This window comes from Homo sapiens, chromosome 3, assembly GCF_000001405.40.
Source record: "Homo sapiens chromosome 3, GRCh38.p14 Primary Assembly".
Classification (NCBI taxonomy): Eukaryota; Metazoa; Chordata; class Mammalia; order Primates; family Hominidae; genus Homo; species Homo sapiens.
This window is the reverse complement of record NC_000003.12, coordinates 130974772-130996979: the sequence shown is the minus strand read 5'-3', so window position 1 is coordinate 130996979 and position 22208 is coordinate 130974772. Positions and strand designations below refer to the sequence as shown.

The 22208-nt window shown below is 37.4% G+C and overlaps 1 protein-coding gene across 23 annotated transcripts in view; it reads right to left on the bottom strand.

Moving 5' to 3' along the window:
* The window catches only part of ATP2C1 (ATPase secretory pathway Ca2+ transporting 1), a 166118-nt gene that overhangs the window by 19733 nt on the left and 124177 nt on the right, over positions 1-22208 (bottom strand). For 18 of the 23 annotated variants that reach the window (NM_001378511.1, NM_001199180.2, NM_001199182.2 and 15 more), the window contains 7 exons: positions 21492-21648; positions 17561-17731; positions 16301-16398; positions 3979-4029; positions 2882-3048; positions 869-937; positions 184-300 (listed from right to left, as the gene is read on the bottom strand). In NM_001378511.1, coding sequence (NP_001365440.1) covers positions 184-300; positions 869-937; positions 2882-3048; positions 3979-4029; positions 16301-16398; positions 17561-17731; positions 21492-21648 — 830 coding nt within the window. Of the gene's footprint in view, positions 1-183; positions 301-868; positions 938-2881; positions 3049-3978; positions 4030-16300; positions 16399-17560; positions 17732-21491; positions 21649-22208 lie in introns of those variants that run through there. The other 5 variants (XM_047447960.1, XM_047447961.1, XM_047447962.1 and 2 more) reach the window with 2 other exon arrangements.

The window sequence follows — 22208 nt, the reverse complement described above, 5'->3', positions numbered from 1 at the left end:
TACACTGCATGCACACTCAAAAAGAATTAATAAAATACACACATCACACAATTTATAACATAAATGTTAAAACATTTGCTGCAAAGTTTTCCAACACTGTCCATAAATCAAGTTTTAAAACTTAATTATCAGGGTAGTACACATTCCTTGTCTTTCCAGCTCATGCAATTAAAAAACTCGTACCTCTGAGCTGGGGGTCCATCCATAATAATATTGATCCACAAAATCTGCATGGCATTGAGAGGATTAGGAAAGTTCATTAATGTAGCCAATGAGATTAAAGTTAATGCTGCTATACTCCTGTTGAAAAAGAGAGTCATTTAAAAATATCAGTAGAGTAAATCTGTTGATTCTATGATACCACTTTTTTAGCATTTAAAAATCTCTTACTACTATGCTTTTAAAGGAAGACTGTTTCAAGTAAACTATTCTTCAGTCACGTGGACATTTTAAAGCTAAGAGTATTTTAACAAAGGATTTTCAAGATGTTTAGACAACAGGAACAAATAAAGAATTTTTACATCTGCATGATAGTTTCAACAATATTTTGGTAACTGTTCTTTGACTACACAATACCCCTTCTACTTTTGGAAAAAGATACCAAGAGGAAACAATGAGATGTGAGCTATTAAATAAATCACAAAGATTTATACATTTTGATGATACAGACATCTAACTGTTACATTTACAACCTATTTATCATGCCATTTAAAATTTCAGAATACAATAAATTTTCTTTTTGGAAAACTGACATATGAACAATGCTCACAAATATAAGGCAGAGAAGTTTCTAGGCATTCTGCTTAAGTTCTACTTTTCATATAATTTATCCAGAAGACCCATGGTGACAAATTTCTTGCAAACTTACGTGCTCAGCTGGAATCTAACGAAATTTTTAATGTTATTATAAATCCCTTTACCCTCTTCGATTGCAGACCTGAAATTTAAAAAATAAAGATGAAGTGAGAAAATATTATCATACAAAAATGTATCTATACTAAAACACTGTAGAGCTAATTTTGAAAATAAATTTCCAACCGGGCACTGTGGCTCATGCCTGTAATCCCAGCACACTGGGAGGCCGAAACTGGCAGATCACCTGGGGTCACGAGTTCGGACCAGCCTGGCCACCATGGTGCAGCGAAACTCCGTCTCTACTAAAAATACAAAAATTAGCCGGGTGTGGTGGCGCATGCCTGTAATCCCAGCTACTCGGGAGGCTGAGGCAGGAGAATCGCTTAAACCCGGGAGGCGGAGGTTGCAGTGAGCCAAGATCACACCACTGCACTCCAGCCTTGGCAACAAAGTGAGACTGACTCAAACAAACAAACAAATAAATAAAATAAAATTCCAACTAATACAACACATGTATCAATATGGAAACATTTATTTTAGCAAAGAATTAAAGTCAAGCCTAAGCTCTACCTGAACTAATTTGTCACAATATTAAAATTCTTATTCTGAAGAAGATACTTCAACATTAAAATCATGCATTGTCTCTTCACACAAGAGAAAATACTTCACATTCATAATACATAAAATGATTATCTTTTTTTTTTTTTTTTGAGACAGGGTCTTGCCCTGCTTCCCAGGCTGGAGCGCAGTGGCACAACCTTGACTTACCTGCAGCCTCGACCTTCTTGGCTCAAGCAATCCTCCAGCTCAGCCTCTAGAGTAGCTGAGACCACAGGCTCACATCACCACTCCCAGCTATTTTTTTTGTATTGTTTGGAGAGATGGGTTTTGACATGTTGCCTAGGCTGGTTTCGAACTCCTGGGCTCAAGTGATCCATCCACCTCAGCCTCCCAAAGTGCTGGCATTACAGGCATGAGGTACCCTGCCCAGCCATGATTATCTTCTTCACCTTCCTCTAAGCTCATTTTTCTTAGTGGTACAAAATGCAGAGTAAAGGTTTAAACTAATGCATGTCAGGAATCAAATGGCAATGAGATATATAGGAATTATAGAATTTAAGCTACGTGTTGCTCCTGCACATCAAGTAGATCACATGTTGCAGAGGAATTAAATGAAGAACATGGTTTACAAGGATTCATATAAATTATCTCATTCATTTAGCTGAATCCAGGAAAATCTATGCTTTTTAATCAACTCCCCATTTCTTCTAAGATTTCTATATAATTATAATAATGGAAAGAAAAAACTCATATCCTTGCAAAAGCTTGGCAAATACTGTGAGTCCTAAGCTCCCAAATGTTTCCCTGTAGGCCAAAACAGAGTAATAAAGCAGCCTGGAACATATAATTGGAATTTATCACTAAACTCAGGTCATCCAACAGGTAGCTACCAAAAAAATAAATAAATAAATAAATGGGATTCACATGATCCCCACCTGAACACTGTGAAACTGACACCACCATGTATTACACTGGAGTCTTAAATCAACTGGAAACTGTGGCTGACACAAATAGAGCTATTTAAATTTAATAAATTATAACATTAAATGAGGGCAAGATGAATAAATTACTGATATAAAAAACAGGTATGGATGTAAACTTCATAATTTTCAATATTTATTATAAAGCCAAAAAAAGAGCCATACATATGCATATTTCTAACTACCTGAATTTAACTAAAATAAAGGCCATTACTATACCATCATATTAGTGCCCAGAAAAAGGTGAAATGTGGCTGGCACTTGGCAAATACTTCTTAAATGAGGGTCCTGCCATTTACTATGCCTGTTCCAGCCACACAAATCATCTTCTTCATACCATAAAATAGGATAATTACCCTAGAAAAGTGGTTTAGTTTACCTAATGTTTAAATACTAATTCTTTTCCAGTTGAATTCTCTAGGGGTGGGGGACAGGAAAGGATAGGGGAAGATTCTCTGATAGGCATTCACTGAAACAAAGCTTACATTATGGTTTGAAAATCATCATCCACTAGGATCATGTCTGCTGCCTCTTTGCAAACATCTGTACCAGTCTGGCCCATCGCAACTCCAATGTCTGCAGCCTTCAGAGCAACTGCATCATTTACTCCATCTCCTGTCATGGCTACAACTGAACCGTTCTTCTGTAGCGACTAGAGTGGAGCAGAGGACAGGGGAGAGGAAGGAATTTTGATAAAAATGTTGCTTCCATACAAAGCGATAAACAAATCCTCCCTATTTTTTTCACATAATTAAGATTAGAAATAATATAGACCACCCATTGTTCAATGAACTTCAACAAATGGAGATCTCAGTAAGATAAAGCTTAGAAAAAGTTGCTACTAATATTCCCATCTGTGAGAACTGTATCTCTAAATTCTGTTCTTCAAACAACTATACAATGATTCTCAACCAGGGGCAATTGTGTCTCCCAAGGGACATCTGACAATGTGTGGAGATGTTTTGGACTATCAGGATTTGGGGGATGTTACTGGCACCTAGTGGGAAGGGGCCAAGAATGCTGCTAAACATTCAATAACATATGGGGCAGCCCTTCACAACAAGGAATTATCCAGTCCAAAATGTCAATGGTGCCAAGGTTGAGAAACTCTGAACTACACAATGGCTGGCTATCATAACTTAAGACCATTAACTACTGGATACTCTATCAGTTGGTTTAAATACATTTGACTAATTAATATAAATAATCATAGCCTTTTAAGCACTGTTCACACTGTCACAACACTATTTCCTTGCTGTATTTATTTAGTTTCTAACTAATTACTGCTATTTACGCTGGGATGACTCGGCTATGGACCCCAGTTAGAACATTGTTTTATACTGTCTAACTGTTTAAAGAAGGCTGTATTTGCAGATACTTCATTCAAGTTTTCTTCTACATCTTATGCCAACTAAATTCTCTATTAGTGTTTCTATGTCAAGCTCTTACAAAAAAAAAAAACTGTTTTGCTTCACAGTATTTCTGACCTTGATGCTCTACTCCCTGTAATGCAAACATAACAAAAGTAAAGTAGCAGCATTTTGTATACAGAAATAAAACAATCTGATTCTTACACACTCACCTTAATAATTTTCATCTTGTGCCTTGGGCTAGCTCTGTAAAATACTGCAACCTGTTAAAATACAAGATACACTAAAAATCTTCAATATTAAGATTTCTACAGAATAACCCATGCATTCATAACTAATGATGAAAAACTCATCAATTTAAGCTGTATTTAATTTGCCACTGAGATCAAGCTTAAGCAATATGACATATGTTTGTTAAGACATTAATCTGACATGGTCATTTCAATCTTTACCAAAGGTACCACAGGAAATACACAATCTAAACAAGTCATCCAATTTATATCATTATGTGTAAACTCTGGAAAGAAAACAGCCTTATTCTTGAAATGTTCCAGAGACAAAAAAAGGAAAAATTCTCTTGCGTCTGTTTCCTATGACACTCGCATACAACTAAAATAGCCTTTTCCCTTTGTTCTGTCTTCAGGAGCAATAAAGAACAGCTGCTTCTCAGTGTCTGTAGAGCCATTTTTTACAGTGTCAAGTGTCTGCTCATTCCCTTTTACTCAGGTTAACTCATTAGCCTCTCTTCCACTGTACTTCTAAATTGCTTATATGATTTTTATCTCTCCAAAATAAATATTTAATCCTTTTTTCTGACCCCATCTCCTGATCTAAAATCGTTTCACTGTGTTCCAACAAATCTCCTCTATTTTTTACTCTTTTTCACTTTGCTCTAACCTAGTGTTTCCACAAAACACTACCATCCCTATAACCTCCTCAAATAGTACTTTGCTCTAACCTAGTGTTTCCACAAAACACTACCATCCCTATAACCTCCTCAAATAGTACCACTGGGGGAGCCTACAGGTGGAACACGGTATCCGCTATTCTCCCTTCATAAAACCTCAGTTCTGAATGTCAGATGAGACTGTAACTCACTAACTGTAAGCATTCACTGCTCCGGAGTTCACAGCCCCTCATTTCACAATGATTTTAACTTCTGCCTCACTACCATGTCACTCTCTCCAACAATATTTACAAGTTATGGTGATTTCAATATACATAATACACCATTCTCTTTCCTATTCTCCTAGAGGATTAGTTCATATTAGTTTTCTCTCCTCGTACCTGCAATCTATCCCCTTTCTCTAGCCTCCTTCTCAGCCGACCACCTTGCTTCCTACTTTGGAGAAATCAGAATCAGAAGAGAATTTCCACAATTCCCCCAACTCAGTATCTGTATCCAGGAACTAACCTCTGGTTTTACTACAGATGAACTCAATATGCATCTACTGCAGGTCAAAGATTCTACCTTCTTACCTATTAAGACCATTACTCCAGAAATTCTCCTCCCTCCTGTGCCAAAATGTTTTCCTCACTGCTATATCTTTACCGTCAGTATACAAAAACATGTTGTCCCTTCCATATAAAAAAAGAAAGAAAAACCACTTCTCTTCCCTTCCCATTTCAGCTGCCACCCTTTCCCTTTTTTTTCTTTATTTTTTTTAAATGGAAGAGGAAACATGTTTGTATACTGATGGTAAAGTGCAGCAGCAAGGAAAAAATTTTGATATAGGAACGGGGAGGATTTTTGGAGCAGAGCTCCTTAGCAAGTAGCCTATACTTGCTGTCTCCCATTCTCTCTGAATCCATCCCATGATCATACTGTTACCACAACTGCAGTGAAACACGATTCATGACTTTCAAAGACCTGCACCACCACCACCACCACCACATTGCTAATGCCTACAGTCATTTCTCATCTGACTTAATCTCTCAGCCGCACCCTAACGTAGCTGATTAGTCCCTCCTGAAACACCATCTTCCCTTGGCTTCCACTACCACCGATACTGGTCTTCCTCCTACCTTTTTGGCTGTTCCTCTTGTACAGACTTCTCCTGATCCCTCTTGATGCCTAGATGTTGGAGCACCCCAGGGCTCAGTTCCTTTCTCTATAAGAGGTCTCAGAATTCCCTACGCCTCAGGTGAGCATACCCAGGCACATGGCTTTGGATTTTACTTACATGCATTTTTTTGAATGCATTTTTATCTCAAGCCCAGACATTTCTTCTGAAATCCAGATCAGCAAAACTAATTCCCATCCCTACTTCACATTTCCTCTTAGATGTCTCAATCTTGCTCCTTCCTATCCTCTGTTAGTGAAAAGTACATATGTGCAGTTGCTGAGGCTCCAAATTTTGGGAGCCAACCTTAATTCCTCCATTTTTCTTATGTGCCAACAAGCAGTTTGACAGCGAATCTTGTTGACTCCACTCACAAATATATCCAGAATTCAACCACCTTACTCCAAAACCATTGCCCACACTCTGGGCCAATACCTCCAAACTGATTTTCTTATTTCTGCCCTAGTTTCCTGCAGTCAATTTGCAACACAGTAGCCAGAGTGGCACTGTTAAAACAGAAGTGAGATCGCGTGTCTCTTCTCAAAACCCTCAAATGATTTCACATCTCTCTCAAAACAAATGCCTAAGTCCTTTATTATCTACCGGGTCCCTCATGAAGTTCACACCTCACTGCACTCCTATCATTAATCTTTTCCTGACTGAACTACATTGGCCTCCTCGTTGTTCCTCACACATGCCAGGCACACTCACTTCCAGCCTCTGCCCTTGTCTGGAATGCTCTTTCCTCGGATATAACATGGGTCCCTCTTCTGTCAAATAGTACCTTCTCAGTGAGGCCCTCCCTAGTCTTACTATATAAAAATTTCAATCTCCCTCTCTTATCATTCAAATTTTGCCTTTTTTTGTGGGGGGGGGGGTTGCTCTTAAGCACTTATTTAACATTATATTCATTTATCTTCTAAGACTCATGAAGCCAGAGATTTTTGTCCTATACCAACAGCGCTCTATAAAGACAAATAAAATGAATGAACAACTGAATAAATCTCAGTACTACCATAAAGACTGTTCCCTGGTTCTCTCCTTTAATAAAGGTCTAAATAAAAAAAGTATTATTTTCTTAAACAAAAGACTCAGCTGCACTGTAATATCACACTACTGATTATCCCTAGGCAATCCAAATATCATGAATCACATAACTTATATTTGGGAAATATCCTTTCTTTCAAAAAAGTTCAAAAATCCATTCAGAAACTCTTCAGTGTGCCTTTAAAAAAAAGACTGAGTTACACATATATCCAAAACATACTGGTAACCTTCCAAGTGAAAACTCTAATTACTGCAGAAATTAATCATGTAGCACACAGCACTGAAATATAACAAGTGTTTGGCAAAAGCTGCAAAATAAGTTAGCGAATGAAAGGTTGTGACTGTGAGTTGTCCATGTACTTCATGTGTTGAACAAAGAATTGAACAAAACACACAAAGGAACAAAAGAACGAAGCAACAGAAGTACAAACTTATTGAAGCAAAAGTACACTCCATAGAGTAGAACGGGCTCGAGCAAGCGGCTCATGAGTCCCAACTACAATGTTCTTTAGGGTTTGTGTTTTTTTTTTTTTTTTTTGAGATGGAGTTTCGCTCTTGTTGCCCAGGCTGGAGTGCAATGGCGCAATCTCGGCTCACCACAACCTCCTCCTCCCGGGTTCAAGCGATTCTCCTGCCTCAGCCTCCCAAGTAGCTGGGATTACAGGCATGCACCACCACGCCCAGCTAATTTTGTATTTTTTAGTAGAGACAGGTTTTCTCCATGTTGGTCAGGCTGGTCCCGAACTCCCAACCTCAGATGATCTGCCCACCTTGGCCTCCCAAAGTGCATTACAGGCATGAGCCACCACACCCAGCCGTTTTTTTGTGTGTTTGTTTTTTTGTTTTTTTTTTTTTTGAGATGGATTTTCGCTCTTGTAGCCCAGGCTGGAGTGCAGTGGCGCAATCTCGGCTCACTACCTCTGCCTCCTTGGTTCAAGCAATTCTCTGCCTCAGCCTCCCAAGTAGCTGGGATTACAGGTGCCCGCCACCATACCCAGCTACTTTTTGTATTTTTAGTAGAGACGGGGTTTTACCATCTTGGCCAGGCTGGTCTTGAACTCCTGACCTTATGATCCACCAGCCTCGGCCTCCCAAAGTGCTGGAATTACAGGTGTGAGCCACCGTGCCCGGCCTAGGGTTTTTATTAAGTTAAAAGAATTTGGTAACACTACCAGATGCCATTTAGAGGCCTCCAATTGGTTACACCCTATGAAGGATTAGCCTGTGACCAATCAGAGACTGAAGTGGAGACTTGGTCCCCAGCCAATCAGAGGCTGAAGTGGAGACTACTGTCTTGTTATCACAGGATTAAGGATGTGGCCTAAATGCTGCCTAATCTTGCCTAGAACTGGCTGCATCTACTGTTCTTTTACTTATGCCTTAACCCTTGATTACCCTAATTCCCTATTCTGCCTCATTTCTCCGAGAGACATGATCCCCATAAATCTTTATGGGAGGCAGAGGCACTGAGGATCAATTTTCTGTAGCTGCTTCTTGCTGGTCGTGGGTGTCATCCCTGCCTATTGGGGATCATGGCTGTCCCGAAGTTAGATGGGTATCCGTGGGTTGCAGTGAGCCTTGTACTTGGTGGTAAAAGGTGCAGCTGGCTTGATCCAGTTGTGACAGTTGGGTATTTTGGCCTGATTTTAGATTTGGAGGAAGAGATAAAAATCATCAAAGAGAGTAGAACAAGGCCACATATTTTCAGAAGCAATCTACAAGGGGTATTTTTCTCTTCTTATGAGTCCTCCTTTTCAGTGTCACATTTGTGGTCAGCACTCACAGTTCTTTTGATGGAAATTAATAGACAAGATGTACTAGGGAAAGGAAGTTACAAAAAAAAAGAAAGGAAAATATTAAAGGAGAGATTAATGGAAAAGATGTGTCTTGCATTAGAATAACCTACCGAAGATCCTCAAATCTTCTAGGACAGATTAAAGAAAACTAATGCACTGAAGAAAAAACAAGTGATTGAAATAAAGGTTTACAACCTATTAAAAATTAGACTATATGAATTGTGATAATAATATGGGGACTTGGTGAATAGATTCAGTAGAAATATAAATGCAAGTAATGCTGTAAAAATCAGAAAAAGAAGAATGAAAGAGGATGACCACTTCTATCAATGGATCAATGGAAAATGTAGGACACACTAGAAAAAGTCATAAATGGAAAACACTGAGAATTCCCAGATGACTTAATAACAAGCAAAACTGAGATTCAGTACTACTTTTTAACTGGCTCTAGGTCAAAGTACATAGCAACACTTCATATTCCAAAAGGAGAATGAAATGTGTTCAAAAGAATTATGAAAAAGGATGGCTGAAAAATATTTTAATGAGGGGCACAATTAATATGATTCTAGTACATGGGGGAAAATGTCAACAAGCTAATGATTTAGAACAAAAGGTCTGTTTTATTTGTAACAATAATAAAAGTTATTCAAACTGATGTGAAGCAAAAGCAGCAAACTGTCTGAGTGCAGTGGCTTATGCCTGTAATCCCAACACTTTGAGAGGCCAAGGTAGGAGGATCACTTGAGCCCAGGAGTTTGAGACCAACCTGGGCAACACAGCAAGACCCCATCTCTATAAAAAATAACAAAATTACCTAGGCATGGTGGCATATGCCAGTAGTCCCAGCTACTCAGGAGACTGAGTCATGAGGGATCACCTGAACTGGGGAGATCACCTGAACCCAGGAGTTTGAGGTTGCAGTGGGCTATGGTCACACCACTACACTCTAGCCTAGTCAACAAAGCAGGAGACTCTGTCTCAAAAAACAAACAAAGGAAAGCAGAAGACGAGGCTACGTGCAGTGGCTCATGCCTATAACCCCAGCACTTTGGGAGGTTGAGGTGGGAGGATCACTTGAGCCCAGAAGTTCAGGACCAGTCTGGGCAACACGTGGTGAGACTCCATTTCTGCAAATCCTTTCTTTCAAAAAAGTTTAAAAATCCATTCAGAAATGGATTTTCTTTCTTTTTTTTTTTTTTTAATTACCCAAGCATAGTGGTGAGCACCTACAGTTCCAGCTACTTGGGAGGCTAAGGCAGAGGATAGCTTGGGCCCAGGAATTCAGGGCAGCAGTGAGCTATGATCATGCCACTGCACTCCAGTCTGGGCAATAAAGCAAAACACCATCTCTAAAACTAAACTAAACTAAACTAAACTAAACTAACTAAACTAAACTAAACTAAACTAAACTAAACTAAACTAAACTAAACTAAACTAAACTAATCAAAAAGCTGAAGGCCAAATAAACATATTGGCTATAAAAGGGTCACATGAACACAAAATGAAGTAGGGAAAAAGACAAGATGAGGGTGGGGGCCGTCCTGCTAACCTAATGAGACAAAAAATTCTCTAATAATATTTGGAGAAAAGACTTAGGTATTCAAAAGATACAAAATACCTGGGAGGCAGGGCTAGTATTTATAGAATTCCACTTTAAAGTAGGATGAATTTAAGCAATTCAACGAGCTTCTGACAGGGCTTAGGTCTTATTTTGTTTTAGTCTCCTTGGAATAGCATCAGGATATCTGCTATAATTAACGCACACACACTCTACTTGGGAAACCCCAACAATGTGATTTGTCCAGGCTGATGATGTAATTTGTAATTAGTTTCTTTCTTCCCTAACTATCTTTGGTTGGTTTCCAGAGTTCACCTTAATTTTTATAAGAGAGCCAGAGGACAAACTGAAGAAAGCAAATAAAATGAAAGTTTCACCACCTTTAGCATCTCTGAGAAGTTATGCAGAAGTCTAATGGTAAAATGTTTAAGTAACTGCAGATTTCACATACATTTACTAATACTCTGTCCCAATACCACTAAAAAAATCCAATATGGGATTTATTCAGAAATAAACTTCAGGAAGAGATTACCAGGATAGGACGTGCACCAAAAAAAAAAAAAAAGCCCTATTCAAATATATAAACACCTTCCCCACCCCAAAAACAAAGCAAACATCCACACTGCCCCAGCTCTCTGGGTGGCAGTGATCCCAACAGTCATCTATGATCCCAACATACTGGGATCATAATCTTGAAAGATGCAATACCAAATGCCATAATCCCAAATGCTGAAATCCCTAAAGATCAAAATCCCTAAAGTCTAAACTCCTGAAAATCACAATCACAGGATAGGAAAATTTAATAGAGAATGTTCATGTTAGTGTACATCGAATCATAGAATTTCAAAAACAGCAGTGCCACATAGAAAATGAATATGAACATACGCTGACAGCCATGTTCTTAAAGAAAAAAAAGCAACTACTCATCATGCTGCAAGACTTCAAAATATAGTTAATGATCGTGAAAGTCAGCCAGCTTTTATGGACTATCTCCATGCAACTGTCCATCATTTATCTCTGTAATATGCTTTTCCATGTCATATTTTCTTTTTAGGTTTTTTGCTGTTGTTGTTAATTTGGTTTTTTTTTTTGGTGGGGCGGGGGAGGTGGGGTGGGGGAAGGAGTCTTGCTCTGTAGCCCAGGCTGGAGTGCACTGGTGCAATCTCAGCTCACTGCAGCCTCTGCCTCCTGGGTTCAAGCGATTCTCCTGCCTCAGCCTCCTTAGAGTAGCTGGGATTACAGGCGCCCACCACCACACCCAGCTAATTTTTGTATTTTTAGTAGAGATGGGGTTTCGCCATGTTGGCCAGGCAGGTCTCGAAATCCTGACCTCAGGCAATCCATCCACCTCAGCCTCCCAAAGTGCTGGGATTACAGCTGTGAGCCACCACACCCGGCCATTATTTTTCTTTTTTTAGTTTCCTTTTCCGCTATTTTAAATTGTGAGTATTATTTTTTACAATTTGCTATGCTATGTATTTCACCTTTGCATCATTTCCAACACTGGAAGCGTAAGTTATAGAGACTTAAAGGATTCTAATTTGTTTTATGCATGTTTTGCAAATCTGACTTCACGAAAGTGCATGATCACAATGTTGACTTTGTATGTAAGCACTGTACATGTATGTAAAAATGTTGAAACTTCCTCAATAAATGAACAGATGTCCTTTTCATACATCTGCATTTGTGAAAGATAAAAATGACCCACAGTTATAAAGTGGGGTGCACACAATTAGCAACCACAGTGATAGGTGTTTATGCATTTCCCTTATGACCTATTTCTTTATAAATACAGTTCATATGCTCATAACAGTCCTATGTTATATCTTTCTGTCATATAATATGCCTGAGTGTTTATGCTTGCAAATGCTTGCAAAACTATGTAGGTTATTTATTATTGCTTATTTTGTATAAAGTGACCAATGAAGCATTTTCATGTTTTTATGTTTCTCAAATAAATTCCTTCTTAAAAATGTAAATTATTTTATTTTAAAATTATTTTTTCCAGAATTAGATTTTTAGGATTTTGATCTTTGGGGACTGTGGTTTTTCAGGATTTTAAGACTTTATGGATTTCAATCTTTCAGGATTTCAACATTAGAGATTACATCTTTCAGGACTATGATTGGCTCTCTCTGAAAACAGCATTCATGAGTGATTAGAAGTTGAGAAATAAAAAATATGGATAAGCAAAATAGTGTATTTCTATTAGTAACAACATCCAAAATCTAACCACTTGCTAGAGGATGAGGGAAGTGGGGCTGGAGGTCTAGGGACTTAATGCTACTGTATGAAGTGTAGTTTATGGAAATATAAACAGAAACTTTTTCAGAGGACAATTCAGCAATATATGTTAACGGCCTTACAAATGTGTTGAACATTAGTCCAATCATTTCACATGCAGGAATTTAGTGTATAAAAATAATCAGATGTACATGGATAAGGGCAGTGGTAAAAAATAATAACAATAATAATAATAATCAGAGTTGGGTACATCTTAGGTTCAATAATATTCAAAGAAACAGCAAACAACAGATGAACTCTGGAGCATACAGACCTGGATTCCAGTTCCAATGCCAACACCACCACTTACTAGCTCTGAGACATCAGCCAAGTCTCCCAAGTACTGTGGGCCTCAATTTCCTCATCTATAAAAATGGAATTGCCTGTTTCTTAAAAAACTAAATATACTCTTACCATATGATCTGATTCAGCAACTGTGCTTAGTATTTACCCAAATGAATTGAAAACTTATGTCTACGCAAAAACCTGTATATGAATGTTTAGAGCAGCTTTATATATAATTGCCAAACCTGGAAGCAACTAAGATGCCCTTCAAAAGGTGAAGTGATAAACTGTGGCACTTTCATACAATGGAATATTATTTAGTGCTCACAAGAAATGAGCTACTAAGCCAGGAAAAGACATGGTGAAACCTTAAATGCATGTTGCTTAGTGAAAAAAATCCAGTCTGCAAAGGCTACATATGATATTATTCCAACCATACACATTCTGGAAAAGGCAAAACTACAGAGACAGTAAAAAGATCAGTGGTTGTCAAGGATTCAAGCGGAGTGGGGAGGGATGAAAACGTCAAACACAGGGATTTTCAGGGCAATGAAACTACCCTGTATGAAATTCTAATGGTGGAGCGAGACTCCGTCTCAAAAGAAATTGTAATGGTGGATATATGTCATTATGCATTTGTCAAAACCCCTAGAAAGGTACAACACAAAAAGTAAACCTTAATGTAAACCATGAAATAAGAATGTATCAATATTAGCTCATTAATTGCAATAAATATACTACAGTAATGCAGTCTATTAATATGAAGAGGAACTGTGTAAGAGTAGAGGGTAGAGATGGAGTAGGAATGTAGAACTCTGTGTTATCTGCTCAATTATTCTATAAATCTAACACTGCTAAGAAATAAGGCTTATTAATTATTAGAATTTTTAAAGCGGTGCTGCCTATCTTTCATAAGGTAGCTATAAGAAGTAAATTAGATAATGTAGGTAATACATGCATTGGCAGATAATAAATGGTTGCTATTGTCATTATCCTTAAAGGAACATTTACAGTAGTAAAAAGAATAGAAGCTCAAATTTCAACAGGAAAATGGTTATGTAACTCTCTCTCTCTATATATATATATGCATGCTATGCATTTATACACACATACACATGGTATACTCAAAATATTGTACAGCAATTAAAAACATGTTTTCTAATAATAATTGATTTCAGAAATGCCAAAGTTATGTAAAATGAATGTTCAGAATTATAACAGTATAAAGTAGCAACCAGGTTTTGTTAAACACATTTTTTTAAGTCATAATAGGTTAACTTATTATGGATACTCTGTGGATGCATAACCTGAGTGTGGGTTAGATTACAGACAACTTCTATTGTAGCTCTTACTTTTCTATATTATTTGATTTTTCTATGTTGAACATATACCACTAATGAATAAATTTTCTAATCAAAAAAGTATAGACATACCTTAAGATGCAGAAACAATTTAAGAAAATTCCACATTCTGAATATATAACTTGAAGTTGTAAGTGTAAAATAAATGAAGGAGGAGGTAGCACATTTTATTAGTAACAATGGATGGCTACAAAATAGCTAATAAAATAAATTCCAGATAAGTGCTTATTTTGAAGGACATACAAATAGATGTGCATATATAAGTTAACTAACAATAAAACCAAGAAATCTGAACTGTCAGCAACTGGGAAGACTGCTGCCCACCTCTTATGGGGCACTTCCTATGGGACCTGGGTATCCACAAACCAGGCTTTGATAGGCCCCTTACAAGGCAGCCCAAGATAATAAAGTAAGTTAATCTCATATCAGGGAACCTGGCTTTAAAGAAGCTACTGTGCTGTGGGGCAGGAGATACCTCCTTCCTACAAATAATTTGTTAGAAAAGCATTATAATCAAAAGTTAAAAAGTATTTCAATGGAAAAAGGACAGTCTTTTCAACAAATGTTGCTGGAATAACTGAACATCTATATGCAAAGAAAATAAACCGTAACCCATTACAACATATACAAAAAAATACACTCAAAATGGATCACAGACCTAAGTATAAAACCCAAAACTATAAAACTTCTATAAGAAAACACGAAGAAAATCTTTGTGAACCTGGGTTAGGCAGGGAGTTCTGAGATATCAAAAGCATAGTCCATAAAAGAAGAAATTGAAAAACTAGACCTAATCAAAATTAAAAGCTTCTCTCTTGGAAAAGACACACTACCAACTGGAAAGAAACATTTTCAAACAAATATCTAATAAAGGACTTGTATCCACATTATATAAAGAATGCTCAAAATTCAATAATTAGAAAACATAATTTTTAAAAAATAGGCAGGGCAGACACTTCACTAAAGAAGATATATGGATGGCAAATAAGCATATGAAAAGATATTCAACATCACTAGTTGTGAGGGAAACGCACATTAAAATCACAGTAAGATACCATTGTACACTTATCAGAATGGGGGAGGAGGGCAATGACAATCCCTTGTGCTAGTGAGGATGCAGGACTATTAGAAGTTCCAGGCACTGCTGGTGGGGTTGCAAAATAATAAAGCCATCTCGTAAAACAACTTGGCAGTTTCTTATGAAATTAAATATACATTAAGTGTATGACCCAGCAATTACTCACAGATATTTACCCAAGAGATATGAAAATGTATTTTCATGCAAAATAAATTTGTGTACAAACTGCAAAAGCCTGTACACAAATGTTGACAGCATCTTTATTCATAATCATCAAAAAGTGGAAACAATCTAAATGTCCTTTAACTGGTGAATAGGTAAGGTACACCTATAATAGAATATTACTTTAAAAAACAACAACAAACTACTAATACACACAACCAACATAGATAAATGTCAAATGCATTATGCTAAGTGAAAGAAGCAGATTCAAAAGCCTCATTCATATGGTATGATTCAATTTTTAGTGCATTCTAGAAAAGGTAAAGTGGCAGAGACAAAAAAAGAATTAGTGGCTGCCAAGTCCTGGAAGTAGGGGGAGAAGGTACCACAAAAAGGCCTAAGATAATCTGGGGGGATGATGGAACTGTTCTATATCTTGATTGTGGTGGTGGTCACAAGACTGCATGCATCACTCAATGTTCAGAACTATACACTAAAATGGGCGAATTTTACTATATGTAAATTGTACCTAAAAAAAATCACATACTCATGCTAAAATTAAAATTGAACAAAAGAGTAAGAAGTATAAATCAATGATCTCTCTCCATCCTCTAATTCATAAATACAAGCACTATTAATTTCCACAGTACTTTTCTCAGAGGAAATCTGGTTCTTGCTAAAATTAATAATTTTGCACTGATATTCATAAACATCATATCATAAATAATCAATGATAAGACTAATTCAATGATAAGACTTCATTTCAGGATTTGAACCAACAAATCTGGTGGTTATTTAAATCCCTGATGTTCACAATTAAACAGTTTCATTAAGATAGTAGTAGAAATGGTAACACTTAGAATAAGGCCTTTCAGTCCAAAAGGCTTTAGTTTAGGCCTACCTTTGGTACTATTTGTGAAAGCTGCTGAACATCCATTGCATCTATTTCTTCTCCTGAGACTGACTGGGAAGTTTTGGAATACAATCCCAGACGACTGGCTAAAGCAAATGAGAGAGAAAATGTAATAAACCAAATTGTTTTTGCTTGACAGGCTAGTCAACGTAATGCTCATTTAGTATGATTTGTTATCTGTTCTCTTTTGTTACCTACCAGTAATACAAACCTATCTGAATCAGTATTAAGTCTGGAGTTTTATGTTTGACTTTCATTTTTGTTTAAATTTAAGAATAAAGAATTTTCAAGGCTGGCCACGGTGGCTCAGGCTTGTAATCTCTGCACTTTGGGGCTACAGGATCACTTGAGCCCAGGAGTTCAAGACCAGCCTGGGCAATATAGCAAGACCCTGTCTCTACAGGAAAAAAAAAAAAAAAGAATTTTGACTATTTAAGCTAGCATACCTAAGAATCGAAACTAGGCCAATCAGGTTCTGCTCAGCAGCTGAAATGTAACGAAGATCAGAGTGCATTTTAAGTACAGTGTCCGAAGCCAGACAAAATGGTGGTGGATCTGTGGTAATCATGTAGTTATACATAAATGAAAATAAACATCGAAAAGTTATTCTTCCAATAATATAATGTTCCTAGTGACCTGTTCTTAGACAATATATAGTTTGAAACTCCTGGACTAGCCCCTCTCCAAATAAGAATTAATGGAGTTTAGCCAACTGTTAAATTTATCAGTATGAATTACAGTTTAGAGGCTCTGGGAAATTAACTTTCATTCTCTTCTTCGCTCTTATTCTACTTCTTACGGTAATCTTAAATAGCATTCAAATATAGGTATACATGATGAAAAACAAATACATATAACAAGCTATTTTCTGCCAAATTATGCACAAGTCTGCTTTGAAAATTATACTTAAGTTGAAAGGAAAAACTAAGTTTCATGTTTCCTTTGACAATCATGATCTAGTGCTTTTACTCTGTCATCACAGTTGATCATGAGATTAAAAATAATTACCCTTCTGTGAATAAAATGCATGTGATTTCATGATTTAGTTATGCATGTCAAAGTTATTACTTTTTAAACTATAATCAGTTTTGCCAACTTTATATAGACCATGAGCAAAACCATGAGTCGATTTCAATTGCATAATCTCAATATTACATAAACATATTCATAACTAATAGTTCACAAAATTATGCACCACAGTATTTTAAGAAAAACTATCGAAAACAAAAGAAAGCAGTCTAGTTATACCGATTGCAACTGCAGTCTCCTGTGAATCTCCAGTAATCATTTTTATTGATACTCCTGAGGCAATGAGTGTTGTAACAGCTTCTTTCACACCAGTTCTAGGTGGATCAATGATTCCCACCAAGCCAAGAAATGTCAGCTGTCCCAGTTCAGGACCAGAAGCCAAAGCAAGAACTTAGGAAATAATAAAATCCAAACAACAACAAAAAAAAGTGAGTCATGAAAACATCAGAATTTAGTTGATAGAAATTGGAGACAGTAACACTTCTTAAATAAATCACTTAAGACTATAATGTCATTTGTAAAATCAAAATGATTACAGACCAAAACATTATAGTTTAATGGTTCTGGATAAGGGGTCCCTTTAAGCTGTTTTAATTAAAAAGAATCAAACTAAAGAACTGAAGGGCAGAGTAGGCAAGAGACAGAAAATGAACAATATTTTCACATAGTAATCACATGCAGCTACTTTCAACAGGAACTCTACCTCTTTAAAAAATAGAATTAATTATTTAGAGAAACTATGGGTTTGTTAGGCTTTAAAGTCAATTTTAAACAGGCAAACACCTTTGAAGGTGGCTTCTAACGGATCTTCATCTTTCCATTTCCAAGATCTCCAGAAAAATTAAACACTCTGAAGAGAAGGCTGTATTAGTTAATTATACACAGCCTGTAACAACTTTGTACATGAAAACTCCTGGAAGGTAAAGCTAATTTGGAAAGTGGTTGTAAAACCATTAATACCAACAATAGTTTGGATTCTTTTACTCCTTCCATAACATGAACAGACATTTCTTATTTGTAACGTTGGTTCTCTAAGAGTATGTAAATAACGCCATCATATTATTATTTCTACTTATTTCCCTGTCATCATCCTTGGGCATGTAAGATATAGTACAAAGTACTTTTCATTTCCCAAATATCATTTAGCTTGCTCTCAGAATTATGGAACTCCGGAAACTACTTTTATTAACCAAAGGGATGTGCCTGCATCTGAGATATTAGACTGAACAACTTGTAACATGCACATACAAACTAAACATAAATAAGTCAAGAGGAGACTGAAAAGCCCCAGAGAGACCAAAGAAACTATCCATTCTTCGTCAAGCAGAAGGTATGAAAGATTACATATGCTCAAAAAAAATCAAGGTTAAAAGCAAGTAATTCTATTTTTCCAAAGTAAGAGTCATATACCTAATTATTTATGTAGATGTGGGCTCCAAAGGCTTTCACCCTTGAGAGAATGAGCCACTTCACAGTTCCTGGTGTTAGGATAGAGGCTGATGGTAACAGAAGGGGACAGTGACAAAAATATATGTCAGCAAATCCTAAGACGGAAAGATCAGCTCTGCGCACTCCTAATGGAGGGGTGGCACTAGTCTAGAGGTTAGTATCCTGTATTTATTTGCTTCTTTAGCACCAGTGAAAATCTGCTGCTACTCTCTGAGTCAAGGATAGGTAAACTTTTTTCATGTGGAGAGCCCCTGACATAAAACAAAATATACTCTAATATCAAAATTAAGAACCACAGTATTTTAAGAAACTTGTTTCATAAGATGTAATGTAAGTACATATCAACTGAGGTTTAAAATCTTTCTGTTCTTCATTACGGTAATCTCAGGGGGAGGATGGAAGTGGAGCACAAGGGTAGATAAAGAAGAAAAGACATGAAGCAAGAGACAAATGAGCAGAATGTTTCCCAAAACTCTGTGCAACAAAAACTTTCCCCTCTACCAACTCTGGTCTACTTCATAATGTTACAGTACAAAACACACATACACAAACCTCCACAATCCTTCATATGAAAAGAATTAGTCAATATAATGAGGTAGGAAAACTTTGTTCCAGAAACTAACAAAAAGAGGGAGCATATATTAGACCTTCAAGACCTCTTTAAGTCCTCTAAATCCATGCCACTTTAAAACCTCTTGCTATGTGCTGCTAAGAGTAGCAAGACTCTGCCCACTTCCCTACCTTTTTTTCTCCACTCTTTTAATGCTTTATTAATAGCTGGAAACAAAGCCAACAAACTGGAAGTGATGACATCCCAGAAGTTCAAAAGAGGAAAGAAATGGGTTCACATTTTGTTCACCAACGGTCTTTTTAAAAAATAAATAAGTGCAACTTAGCAAAAGTAAATTTAAAAAGAAAGGGTCAAAGCCCCAGAATCAGGTGAATCAGGGGAGTAACAGGCCCTCTGCACCACAGTCTTCCCAGGATTGTCTCAGTGGAGCTGCCACTGCCCCTTCCGACACAGGCTTTATCAATCCAAACCCTAATTTTGTGGCAGCAAGGCCTCCCTGCAGTGCCCCTTAAGTCTCTGAAACTCCCACTTGCTCTAACGATTATAATCCTGGGTCAAGCCTTAACTGTCATTCTCTTTCCCTAGCTGAGGTGGAAAGTTGAGGAGTGTAAGGGGAACAAAAGTGTTACCCTGAGCCAGAGTATCTGAGCTTCCAAACAGTTTGGTCTGCCAACTGTTCAGAAGGGAGTGACGGTACAATGTACGAGGGCACCCCCTGTGCTCAATTATCCAGAGTGTCAGTTGGCAATTGTACATTTGGCTTGATAAAAACACATCAAAACCCTGTGGTTTCAGAGATCCTGCTATTCTTAGGTCTGGCCCAGGTAAACCAGAAAAGAGATTCCTCCTGCCCCAGAAATGACGCTGGGAGAAAGAATCTGCCTTGGCTTCAGGGGTCCAGAAAGCTTGAGGACTGAGGTGGGGGGATCCAGGGCATGTTCCAGATTCAGGCCTTTGGGATGAAACCCCAGAAACTCTAGAACCTGTCATCAAAGCCTCTTACATTAAAAGGGGAAAGGGGGAAGGAAAAGTTGTTTTCCTTTAAATTTTTTTCCATCCAAAATATCCATTTGCAAAATAACTTCTCAGCCATGAGTCTCTGCCTCCCATTTCCTTGGAGACAGGGGATGAAGTGTTAAGATGGTCACAATACAGCCCATATCCCAGATGAGATGCACCAGGCTCTGGGGGCAGGGGTATGAGGAGTGATCTTGGTTCAGCAGCACAGAAGGTTCAGAGAGAAGGGCAATGGCAGCAGGCTGGGAGCAATGTTCTCTGCTGGTAAGAGTACCTTTCCAAACTTAGTTTATTTTAAGAACAGAAGCCCTATAAATCCATCAAAATGTTTAAAACTCAAAAAAAGCCTTTGCTTAAGTGAACAACAAATAAAAACATTTTTCACATAACTTGTTTTTCTTCCTCCCAGAAATTGTAGTGCTTAGACTCCTATTTCATTAAAATAATAAAATTAAGGAAGCCAACTCTTCCAACTGCTGTGAGAGACTACATAACTACATATATTCTGCAGAAGCCAGATGACTATCCAGAAGGTAAGAATCAGGTTAGGACACCAACCACCAACCCCCGAGTCTTACACATGACATCCCTAGGAGAGGTGGCCTAATGTGTGTGTGTCCAGCAGACCCTCTCCCCATCACTGCTCAGTCAGCAGCATATAAGTAAGCAGAATCTGGGGACTTCTTTACCTCCCTGGTGAACAGTAACAGATCAAGTTAGCAATCACCTTAAAGGATATATTAGAGGCTTCAGACTCAATTTTTAGAAAAGTATTTTTGTCTTTAAAACAAAGTGATAAAAAGAGAGTAACACCATTTTACCTCGATCCATTTCCCTTCTCATAAGATAAACTTGTTTAAAATAAAATTTCTATCAGCTACTCAGAGACCTCTGGAGATCTAAAAGAACCAGTGATTCATATTTTGCTACATTCTCAAATTTCCATCTTTTGAGGGCCAATTAACCAACTAAAACTTAACACCTCAATACTGGCAAGGGTTCTACAAATCCTGGAAGTGAGTTGGACAGCTCAAATGTGAAGCATGAATTCATCTGCAATTAAAAGAAGGCTCTACCTTTCCACCCCAGGGGACTATGCTGAAATAGCCTTACCTCTGAGTCCCGCTGAGCCCATGCGTGCCTTCTCTTGTTGGTACACATCTCTCTGCTGCTGAGTAAGTGTCAAGGTCTGCCCTTTGCTCTGGTATGTAGTACAGTACTTAATTACTTGTTCGTAAGCACCTTTCATAAAACAAATCTCTGGTCTGTCCTAAGAAGAAAATGTACCAAACACAAGTTTAATTTCAACTTGTACTTACCTGCCATTGGAGTCCAAAATTAAGTGGCATTCATTTCTCATAATTCCCAGAGAAGTTACTCAAGCCTAAGGTTTTGACTGCCACCTGAACTCTGAAGATTAAATATTCCTATAGGGGAGCTTTCTGTATCTTCTATAGAAAACATCTATCCCACCATCCCACACATAAAAGGCAATGCTATACTAAGCCCCAAATTTGGCACTCTGAAATGTGGAAAGAGGCTCACTGCAACATAACAGGAAATGGAAGAGAAATAACAGCTCACAATGGTTCAAGTTCTCTATTAGCTACTATATACGTCTATATCTATCTACCTAAAACACCATTTAATTCTCCCAATCACACTGTATTTATGGGTATTATCGCACTTTTTCTTTTATTTTTTGTCATGGTAAATAATCTTCAAAAGCTTATAATGAAATACTGCAGTTTCCTGTTCAACGCTTCTCACCACTAGTCCTACTCCATGGAAGCAAAATAATTTTAACTCTCTTAGCTGTTTTCTCTGATA